Genomic DNA, 11,307 nt, shown 5'->3' with positions numbered 1-11,307 from the left:
ACAGAGTCCAAGTGAGAAGTAGCTACAGTTTAATACAAACCTGCACCAGAACACAACGTGTCGGGCTGTTTAGTTTTTGCCTCAAACGGTGGCCAAAGCACAGGACCATGTGTCGTCTTGGGGTTGACACAGTCTTAGCACCATGACATTTACAGGGGAGTGGGGAAGTCACCTGGGTGCTGGGGTGCTGGAGGCTCCATCCGACCCCAGGCTGTGCCTGCGCCTCAGCAGCTGGAGGGGGTTTGGGTTTCCTTGTGGTTCTGTGGCTTCTGGGTCAGTATCAGAAAAGCCCTCATCACGACATCGGCTTGACAGAGACCTACTGTGGACTCCTAGCACTACACACACGCACGCACACGCACACACAGTAGCACAATTTTCTGGCAACTTAACCCCACAAACCTAGAGAGCAGCTAAGGCAAGAACAACAGTATTTATTCAGCAAGTACAAGACCAGTTTGAGAGCTGCATTCAGTGCAACCAGAGACCCTTTCGTTCCAACCAGGAGCCAGTGGGGCTGGTGACGAAGCTGGCTGGAGCTCTGCACGGGGCAAGGAGTGCATGGTGGGGGCTGACCGCTCATTTGGCTCCTTGAATCTCTTTCTGATTTCTATCTAGAAGCTCCCGGGCAAGGGTAGGGCCTATGTAGGGACTGGGGGTGGATGAAGCGCATGGCCTACAGTGGACCACTCCAAGACGTGGTTCCCTGGTGCCACGGGTCACACATCTCTCAGGCGGAGGCACTCAGAGAAGGTAAAGCTTTCCTAGCCCAAGCAAGGATGCTCTGCCCAGCTGGCCACCACCGCTGCTGCTGGGCTCTTTGACATCTGCCCAAGGCCCATGACCCAGTGAGGGCTGACAGGGATAGAGATGGTGTGCACTGCACCAGGAGGCGGCGTCATGGTTTCCCCCATCCCTGGTGGCTTTCCCAGGCCTGGGTCCTCACCCCTGTTCCAATGGCTGCCACTTGCCATGAGCCCCTTCGCCACCTCTGCTCCCCGGCTGACCACCTCTGTCCTCTCAGCCCCTGAGTGAGGAAAGGGGGAGTGAAGGGAGAAGTGAGGGTGTGGACGCAGCTCACACTGCACGGTTAGCCCCCAATGGGTGACTAGTCTTGGCTCAAACACAGAATGTGCATGAGGTTGTTTATAAGAAAGATGAGAAAAAAAATCTATCTTCCTGTGCAAAACAAAGCAGGCTGCCTACCAGGAAAGTAAGTCTTCTCATTGGTTAAACTCTCAGGTGGGATCTACAATAGATGTCACCCCAGACCTCCTCTCCACAGGTGGGGTAGATAGCCAAGGTTGGGAGGGTCATCACAGACACTTCTGGGGTCAGAGGACCTGAACTTTCTGGGTCTTAGTTTCCTCATCTGTAAAATGGGAAGAATAATAAGTGCTCCATTGTCATGAGGACTAAGTGAGAGGTCATATACGGAAGTGGTTTGAATACATGAAAAGCACTACAGAGATGTGCAGGGGCTGACTTTTTTGTTTGTCTGTTTTTTGAGATGGAGTCTCACTCTGTCGTCCAGGCTGAAGTGCAGTGGCGTGATCTTGGCTCACTGCAAGCTCCGCCTCCCGGGTTCACGCTATTCTCCTGCCTCAGCCTCCTCAGTAGCTGGGACTACAGGCGCCCGCCACCACGCCTGGGTAATTTTTGTATTTTTAGTAGAGACGGGGTTTCACCGTGTTAGCCAGGATGGTCTCGATCTCCTGACTCCATGATCCACCCGCCTTGGCCTCCCAAAGTGCTGGGATTACAGGCGTGAGCCACCGCACCCGGCCAGGGGCTGACCTTTAACCGAGGGTCCAGAAGCCTCGCGCAAGCCTCGGGGGCTGAAATCACATGTGCAACATGAAGTCACTTCCCACGGGGCAGACCAGGCTTAACAAGGGCAGGCGGCTGGGTCACTTCCCAGATCACTGGAGGTGGAAGGAGACACCCGGCCTCTAGTGTTTCCATGGGAACTTCTGTGGGGCTTTAGAAGCAGGGAGGGCCCACCTGGATGGACAGGGGAGAAGATGAGGCCATGAGCTGGCAAGGGCCTGGTGCCGACCACGGGAGATCACGGCACCTGAGCAGCAATGCGGGTTCGACAGCCAGGTCCTGTGGGCCTGGGGTCTCCCTCTCTGGTGTCTGGCAAGCCCCTCTCCCACTCCTCCTCTCTCAGCAGGCATGAGGCCTCTTGCCAGTCACACAGGAGGAGCGCTGAGTCTCTGTCCAGCAGGAAGAAGTTATAGGAAGCCGTGCGTGTGTGTGTGTGTGTGTGTGTGTGTGTGTGTGTGTGGTGGCAGGTGAAGACAGGGGAAGGCAAGGGGAGTGCTGGGAGTGATCAGGGGCAGAGAGGGGAAAGGACACCTGCTTCCTGAAGGGCTGGCATCTCTGGGGCTAGCATCCCAGGCCCCCTTTTGGAATGTGGGAAACTAGACAAGGAGGGGAGGGGAAGGGGAAAGGGCCAGGGCCTCCCGCAGCCCAGAAGACTGCAGGCGGGGAAAAGAGAGGCCTGTGAGCCCAGCCCCCTCCACCACCCCTGCCCTGTGCTGTCTGGTTGGTGTCAAGTGCAGCGTCTCCTAAGGACCACATCTATTCCTGTCGCTATTCTATGCTAGTGACACAAGCACCGTTATTTTTCACAGGATGCACAAACAAGTCAAACCAAACTACTGCGCAAACCAAACGTGCAAAACAAAACCATTTACACGCGCCTGGCACCAGCCTCGAGCCCCGCCCAGCTACCCTTCTGGGCCTGTGACCCCCCGAGGGTGTGGGCGGGGCGCAGGAGAAGCTGGCGAGGGGCACCAGGAGTCCCAGCCACCCCCATCCCTGCCCCTACACAGGGCCAGAGGTGGGTTGGGGGAGATAGGACGTCCTGGGCATGGCTGGGAAGCTGACATCTGTCTGACTTGGGAAATGTCACCACGGGGCCTAAGGGGTGGGGGAGGAGGCCTTTACTTTGAAACCACATCTGCTAAAGTGCTCTGGGCAACTGGCCAGTCAGCCAGGGGGCAGGGCACTAAAGTCTGGGCTTTCCCAAAGCCAGCGGAGGCAGGAGTGAGAGGAAGGGCTGGCCAGGGCTCTATGCATTGGGCTCTGTGCATAGTGTGGGCTTCCTGGGCCCCAGAAAAGCCCGCCGAGGCCAAGGCAGAAAGGACTACAGCAGGAGGAACACATCTCAAAGTGCCTGTTAGAGTTGGCTCGAAGCACAGTGAATCACTTTGCAGACATAGGGAGGGCTCCGTGGGTCCCGGGGCCCCCCTCGGGTGGTGTGCCACCCAGCCCAGCCTCTCCTGCCCCTGCAGCTTCGGCTGGAGAGTTGCGGGCTGGTGGCGGCGGTGCGTCCTCACTCGGGGGGCTTGGCAATGCCTTTACCAAATGCCACTCGACCTGCCTCCGGGAGGAGCGAGGATCCGAGCTGAAGCTCGCTTTGGAACATGGTCATCGATCTGAGAGCCTGCAGGGAAGGAAGCACAGAGGGTGAGACGGGCTCTTGTGCCTGCTAACAAACCACAGACACCCTCTCCTGGAGGCTCACTGTGTGCATGGCCTGAGTGAATCCTCACAGCCACTCCATCCCATCTTATAGATGAGGAGACAGAGGCTCAGGGAAGTTAAGTGACTTGCCCCATGTTGCAGTGTGTAAGTGGCAGAGCCTGGACTTGGACCCAGGTTTTCCTGATTCAGAGCCGACATTATTAACTGCCCACTGTGCCAACTTCACTGCCCCATGCCTAGGCATACAGTCTCTCGTACATGCAGGTCATTGGCCAGCCTGTTGGCACATGGGCCTTTGTACATATGCCTCAGTGAGTAAGCGAGAGAGAAAAATGAGGGTATGCCATTGTTTCGGAAAATGAAAGAACCACAGCCCAAAGGCCCCGCATCTTGAAATCCCATGACTTAGTTACAAAGGGAGGGTCTATACAGGAGAAGGATTGAAAAAAAAAAACAAAAACAAACAAAACACAAAGGGAGGGAAAGGGAGGGTCTAGTGCCCCGGAGAGCCCAGTGGGACATTCTTCAGCCTGGCCTGCTTAGAACAGACAAGATTTGGGGTAGAGAGGAGGGGACAGGCTGCCTGATGTTTGCTGTCTGAGCGGGGGTTCTGCCCAGTCTTGGCTCTCAGGCAGGAGAAGAGGAGGCTGCTGGTCAGCAGGGGCCCTGCAGCTCTGGGGTCTTGGTGCCTCTCGTGGGTCTGGCTGCAGGAGGAAGGCGGTGGGAGTCCATGCCTCCGGGACTGGCAAGACCTGAGTGTGCATAAACAAGTCTTCCATGCCAGGGTCCCTTTCTGACTTCACTCATGGCCCGTCACTGGTGGGAGTGGCAGTGGCCCTCAGAGTAGCGGAGCCATCATCTCAGGAATGAGACTGGTCCTGAGAGAGGACCCCTCCCCATGGGCTACCAGCACCTCCAACAGGGACCTCATCTCTTCTGCCACAAGCTGCGCCTGGCCCAAAGCAGGGCACACAGGAGCCTGGGCAGGCAGGCGCTGACCCATTGGCATCCCTCTGGTTTAGCCCTCTGTTCTCACAGCAGGATGGTTTGTGTATGGGGCTTGTCTCCCCCAGTAAACTCCAGGCTGTGGGTGGAAGGACCAGGGTCTTGCGCCTCTCGCCGTACCCATCCCAGCACAGCCCTTACTGAGTGGGTGCTTGGTCTCTCTCTGGGCTTATCCTGAAGGCAGCTCAACTGTGCTCAGGGAGACTCAGGGTCCTAGCCCCCTGCAAGTGGTGGTGACAGTTCCCACCTAAGCCACCTGGAGGCCCGAGGCATCTTACAGCCTCTGCTTGTTCTCCACTGAGGATCATCATTTATGAGCCCGTGGCTCGCATGGTGATGGGTGCGGGGGGGGACGGGGGGGCGGGAAACTGCAGATCGTGGCTTTAAGAACTGGGATCGCACCCCCCAAGGAACCCAGAGATTCCACAGAAGGACTGGGGCCAGGACCCAAAGGACAGAAAGATAAGAGAAAAAACTGGGCATCAGAAGTCGAGAGAAAATATTTTACTTAAAGTTAATAAAATATATACAATACAATTCCTGGTAAAAAAAAAAAAAAGAAGGTGAAGGTGAGGCAAAGGCGGGGAAAGGTGTGGGAAGGTCAGAGGAGGAGAGGGGGTAGCAGAAGGAGTAGAGAGGCTGGTGAGGAGTGGGCTGGGGTGGGCGAAGGGCTGGTCGGTGCAGTCCCGTGAACCACAGACAGGGCTGACTCTTCTGAGCTCAGGGCATCTCTGGAGCACCCACTGTGTGCACAGCCCTCAAGATGTTTCAAGGGACAAAAATATCTGAACTTAGAAACCCCGAGCAGAGCCCCAGGTGGGCCATGGCCTATTAGAGCGTCTGTGCCCAGGGACCAGGACAGCCCTCCTGTCCCCACTAATGTCTATGTGAGTCTAATATCCAAACCAGCACTCATCCCTGGAAATAGGCAACGGGAGGGAGGAGAGGACACAAAAGAAAAGCAGGCGTAAGTCCCACTGCCTAGGTGGGCCACTTCTCCCAGACCCCCATCCTCCTCCCGTGGCCCCCTGACTCTTACCAGAGAGGCTGAAGCTGGATTCGTGAAGGTCCCTCATGCCCCCATGCCGGGTGACGGGCCGGGTAGGAGTGTCTGCGAGTGGGGTTCCCATCTCTTTTTTCCCAGGGTGCACGACAACAGCGACATCCCCCAGGTAGGGAGTGCGGTCCACTCCTCTAACCTTTAAAGTCTAGGGAAGGATGGAAGAAGAGCAGAAGAACAGGACAACACCATCAGAGCTGAGTGATACAACCATGGCCTCCCTGGGGGCCGGTGGGACATTAGACACTGCCACTCTGCCCAAGACCCAAATCACTGCAAGTGACCAAGGCTTCTTAAACATTGAGTCCAGGGGCTGGAGTTTTCTCATACCTCCTAAAGAGCATGTGCATATGTGTACATGTGTGCATGCGTGCATGTATGTGAGTGCACATGTGTGTGTGCATGCATGTGTATGGGAGAGATACTGGCTCCCCCTCAACACTGATGGAAGCCTCACCGAGGTAGCAGGTAGACATCTGAGGAAGTCAACTTTAACCAAATTTTTCTTTTCTTTTTTTTGAGACAGAGTCTCACTCTGTCGCCCATGCTGGAGTGCAGTGGTGCGATCTTGGCTCACTGCAACCTCCGCCCCCGCAAAGTGATTCTCCTGCCTCAGCCTCCCAAGTAGCTAGGATTACAGGCGCCTGCCACCGTGCCTGACTAATTTTTGTATTTTTAATAGAGACGGGGTTTCACCATCTTGGCCAGCTGGTCTTGAACTCCTGACCTCGTGATCCACCCGCCTCGGCCTCCCAAAGTTCCGGGATTACAGGCGTGAGCCACCATGCCCAACCGGAAGTCAATTTTAGAGAGCGCCCTCCCACACAGCGCAACGTTATTCCCCACCTTAGGCTCCCACGAAGCCACACCCTTTACTGGTCTGACAACTCTGAGGGAACAGAGGCTAAACACAGCCCCATCTGGAGATGAGAGGCCCCCAGTAGCAATACTAGCTAATTCTGTACTCACAAAGGCAGTAGAGTTAGGAGTCTATATTCTACAACCAGACTGCCTAGGTTCCAATCCCAACTCTGTCACTTGTAAACTGTGTGGCTTTGTGCAAGTTACTTTTCTGTGCCCATAATACTATACCTACATCAGAGAGTTGCAGGAGAGCAGACGAATTAATATGTGTAAAGCTGTTCCAACTGCTCTGGCACATGAGAGGCAACACAGAAGTACGAGCAGTTATTACTGCAGAGGTCATTTATGGTCCTACATCGTATTAAAAAGTGTTATTGGGCCGCGCACAGTGGCTCACGCCTGTAATCCCAGCACTTTAGGAGGCCGAGGCAGACGGATCACTTGAGCCCAGGAATTTGAAAGCAACCCGAGCAACACGGTTAAACCCCGTCCATCTCCACAAAAAAGTAAACATTAGCTGAGTGTGATGAGTAAGAGACCCTGAGTTTGCTTTTGGATTTAGCCCTGCGATCACGAAAGTCACGCTTTCTTCATTCAGGCAGCCCAAGCCTGCGCTCCCACGGCAGACCTGGCAGTGGATTTCTTCACTCATTGGCCTCTGGGAGAGAAGGGTCCTTGGTTTCTCTGAAAGCTCTGAGCCCTCTCGTGTGCTCTGTGTGCCAGCAGTGTGGGCCTCCCGTGTTCAGGTGCCTGCTCCTCCTGTGCTTCAGACAATGCTTTGCAAATGCCAGCTCTACCCCCCGCTTGCTTCATCAAGAGTGGGAGGGAGCCGAGCCAAAGCAGCATCTCCAGCCCCCAGCACCTCCTCCACCCCAAGCCTGCGTATCCAGAGGAGCTCAGCGGTCGCACACACTCACATTTCCCACTTGTGCCCTCAGCAACTCAGGAGCCCTGCTGCCTGACCACTTAAAATGCCACTTGGTAATCAAAGACGGGGAACAGAAATCAGCATTTTCTGACTCTAGCGTTCCCTGGCGCTGCCGCACACTCCCCTCTCAACGCTGGAGAAAGTGCAATGGAATTGGGTCGAAAACTGGAGTGAACATCTCTTTGAGATTTAAAACAGTCATGGAGGATGTTCCCCGGCAGGGGGCGCCAACACCCCTGCATCTTCCTCCTCCCACCTCACCTTCTCTCTCTGGACCAGCTTCTTGTAGACAGTGTCTGGGAAGGACCTCAGGGGACAGAACTTGCCGGTGCCCTCGGCGCACATGAAGACGCCGTTCTCATACACGACGCGCCCCCGGCTGATGGTGACCAGTGGCACGCCGTGGCAGCGCATGTTCTCATACAGGTTGAAGTCTCCTCCCTGGACCTGCGTGCTGGCTGAGATGGTCCTGGTGGGGAGGCAATGGCGGGAGAGAAAGCGCTGAGGACAGGTCAAAATGTCACAGCTCCATGGGAGGGGTGAGCCCCAAAGGCTGGTTGTTATGGGTTGAATTGGCTCCCTTCAAAATTCTTCTGCTGAAGTTCTAACACCCAGAACCTCAGAACATGGCACTATTTAGGGCCTTTAATGTAATCATTAAGATAAAGTGAGGTCATATAGGTGGGCCCTAATCCAGTCTTATCGGTGTCCTTATAAGAAGAGGAGACAGACACACCAGACATGTGTGACACGGAAGAAAGACTGTGTGAAGATGGAGGGAGAAGATGGCCAACGGTAGGCCAGGGCCATATTTTGTGCTAGAAATAGTGCAAAATTATATGCTTTTGGAGATCTGTAATGCAAGTCTTCTTCAAAATCCCAAGCCCCTCTAGCCCTGGGGACGAGCAACAAACTTTACTTTGTGGCTTCTGGGTCCCACACCACCACATCAGCATCGGCTCCGGGAATAATGCGGCCCTTGCGGGGATACAGGTTCAGAAGCTTAGCTGCGTTGGAACTGGTAACGGCCACAAAACGGTTCTCATCCATCTTTCCTCCAACCTGAAATGTTGCAGAAAGTGTCAAGTCAACCAGGCTCTGGGGGTGGGTCTCAAACCCTTGGTCACCTTTGATGCTGGCCCATGGACTTAGGGCTTAGGTGGTCAGGACAGTGGTCACAAAGGGACAAGGCCATGAGCACCATCTCAGATGAGCCAGCCTGCTTGGCTGGGTCCCAGTTGCTCACTTATTCCTTTCTCCCTTCACCCAGCAACTATGGTGAGTGGCCGTGGTTCCATTCAGGCTTCCTGCCCGGGGGCAAATCTGCCTCCTGTTTGTAAAACCAGCTCTGCTCATGTGCCCACACGGATGAGTCAGGAACCTCCCTTCATCTACTAAGGGTGATATTTTCAAAGGGTTATATATGCTCTAGAAAAACATCTTATTGCCCCACCCATGAGAGTACTATGGACTCTCTTCAAGGGGATTTCCTGAGCCATCTCCTTGGCCTTCCATGAGCTTAGTCTTGAGAACTTCAAATCTCTTTGGGGCTCATACTATTTTAGATCTAATCTGAGATAGATCAAGACCAAAAATACTTATTCTTCATGTGCGGAACAGGTGGTATTCAAATGAAGTCCCAGTTCTTATCTTTTCTGAAAGCAATTAGACAAAATATATCAAATCAAGAGCCTTAAAAATGTTCACATCCCTTGGCCTAAAAATCCACTTCTAGGATGCTGTCTTAAGGAAATAATCAGAAATAATAATCAGAGGCCGGGTGCAGTGGCTCATGCCTGTAATCCCAGCACTTTGGGAGGCCAAGACGGGCGGATCACGAGGTCAAGAGATCGAGACCATCTGACCAACCAACATGGTGAAAACCCGCCTCTATAAAAAATACAAAAATTAGCTGGGCATAGTGGCGCACGCCTGTAGTCCCAGCTACTCGGGAGGCTGAGGCAGGAGAACCGCTTGAACCCGGGAGGCGGAGGTTGCAGTGAGCCGAGACAGCGCCATTGTACTCCAGCCCGGGCAACAGAGGGAGATTCTATCACACACAAAAAAAAATAAATAATAATAATAATAATAATAATCAGAAATGCTGACACACACTCCTGAACAAAGAGGTTCTCCTCAGCATTATTTGTAAGTGCAAAAATTAGAAACAGCCGAAAGTCCCAAACATCAGGGAAGGATTAAATAAAGTATGGTACTTTCATTGGAGAAAATATCATTCAGCTCTGAAAAAAGATGTTTTTAAAGAATTTTTACTGATATAGGGAGACACTCAGGGTATAGTGTTATATGAAGAAAAAAAATCCTGGTTAGTATAGCAGTTGGTAAAAGAAAAAAATATGAAGCCAGTTATTAAAATAATGTATAGCTGGGTGTGGTGGCTCACACCTATAATCGCAGCACTTAAGGAGGCAGAGGTGGAAGGATAGCTTGAGCCCATGAGTTCAAGACCTGTCTGGACAACATAGTAAAAAAGGAAAAAAAAAAAAAAAAGTACAGTACATGCACAGAACTAAATGAAAGAAATATATTAAAATGTTAATAGTAGTTTAATTTCTAGGCGTGGAATTAAGGTTTCTTTTTTTCTTATACTTTTCTGTATTTTCCAAATTTCCATAATAGGTCTTACTACCTTTCTAATTGGGGGAAAGACCTTTTGTGTTTTGTTTTTGAGTGAAACAAACAGCTGGGATTGAACCAGCCCTTCTAAGAACATTCTTTGACAGGATCTGAGGAGTGAATACTCTTATTGGGATTAGAACGGGGATGAAACGGGGATTAGAGCAGGGATCAGATCGGGGCGGGGCTCTAGGAAACATACCACTCCTCTCTCCCAGATGACGCTCATGCGGTCCTGCACGCCACTCACTCCATGTGGGATCTTGGTGAAGTCTTCCTTGCCCATAGCTTTCTGCTTTGTGGTGAAAGGCCGGTGATCTGATGCCACGATGTTCAGAGTGTCACTGGGTAGAGAAAAGGAGGTGACCAGTAAGGGGAGGGGAGGTGAGGAACTTAGAGGGTGAGGATAGATATAGGGAAAATCCTCCGTGTGGGAAGCAGGCAAAGCCGACTCCAATTTCAGCTCTGCCGCTTAGGCCATGTGGTCTGTCGTGAGTTACTGCATCTATGTGAACCTCAGTTTACTCATCTACAGAATGAGTGTGGCACAGTCTGTCTGTGTCACAGGAGACTTCAGTGAGAGCCTTGGGATAGCAATGTTTAAGAGTGAAGATAGCAGAGAAAAGCCGAACTTAGAGTCTAGCTGAAGTGAGATGGTGGAGGTAGTTCTACTCTCATGGAATTGTATACCAATTCCCTCTCATCAGCTCTCCAACCCCAACCTGCTGGCAACAAGCATTCACAAGTTCAGTGTTAAGCTTTGTTGAATAACTTGGACTCATAGCCTTCCTTGGATGTGGGGATTCTAATGGCCCAGAAGGGGAAGGAGGGATGAGCTAGAAGCCTGACTTAATAGACCGAGAGTGGTATGCAAGCCACTCAGTTCTTCCCCAATGCCGTTCATGACTACGGTCCTCACACATATATTAAGGCTGTCCTCGGGCCAGGTGCTCATGCCTGTAATCCCAGCACTTTGGGAGGCCGAGGCAGGTGCATCACTGGAGGCCAGGAGTTCGAGATCAGCCTTGGCAACATGGTGAAACCCTGTCTCTACTAAAAATAGAAAAAAATTATCTGAGCGTAGTGGTGGGCGCCTGTAATCCCAGCTACTCTGGAGGCCGAGGTGAGAGAATTGCTTGAATCCAGGAGGCGGAGGCTGCAGTGAGCCAAGATAGCCCCAATGCACTCCAGCCTGGGGAACAGAGGGAGACTCTGTCTGAAAAGATGAAAAAAAAGCCATCCTCCATCCAAGGCTGTGGGTGGCTAAGGCACAGGCAGGCCCTCGAGGGGCTCCTGGGCCAAAGAAGACGTAGGGAAG

At 52.8% G+C, this 11,307-nt stretch overlaps 1 protein-coding gene across 4 annotated transcripts in view, besides 1 other annotated feature; it reads right to left on the bottom strand.

Annotated features, from left to right (window-relative positions):
- Positions 1-12: 12 nt before the first annotated feature.
- The window catches only part of DPYSL5 (dihydropyrimidinase like 5), a 102,357-nt gene continuing 91,062 nt past the window's right edge, over positions 13-11,307 (bottom strand). For all 4 annotated transcript variants that reach the window (NM_001253724.2, NM_001253723.2, NM_020134.4 and 1 more), the window contains exons 9-13: positions 10,192-10,333; positions 8,272-8,414; positions 7,614-7,821; positions 5,540-5,708; positions 13-3,454 (exon numbers count right to left, since the gene is read on the bottom strand). In NM_001253724.2, the coding sequence (NP_001240653.1) occupies positions 3,369-3,454; positions 5,540-5,708; positions 7,614-7,821; positions 8,272-8,414; positions 10,192-10,333 (748 nt within the window). In that variant the 3' untranslated portion in view covers positions 13-3,368. The remainder of the gene's footprint in view (positions 3,455-5,539; positions 5,709-7,613; positions 7,822-8,271; positions 8,415-10,191; positions 10,334-11,307) is intronic.
- Positions 295-795: an enhancer, noted in NCBI's record as "H3K4me1 hESC enhancer chr2:27172437-27172937 (GRCh37/hg19 assembly coordinates)". NCBI's record gives its function as "activates a minimal SCP1, AML or CMV promoter by ChIP-STARR-seq in primed H9 embryonic stem cells {active_cell/tissue: H9 hESC(primed)}" and the evidence as "EXISTENCE:reporter gene assay evidence [ECO:0000049][PMID:30033119]".

The sequence above is a fragment of the Homo sapiens genome, chromosome 2 (assembly GCF_000001405.40).
Source record: "Homo sapiens chromosome 2, GRCh38.p14 Primary Assembly".
Classification (NCBI taxonomy): domain Eukaryota; kingdom Metazoa; phylum Chordata; class Mammalia; order Primates; family Hominidae; genus Homo; species Homo sapiens.
The sequence above is the reverse complement of the archived record's forward strand: the minus strand, read 5'-3'. Positions and strand labels throughout refer to the sequence as shown.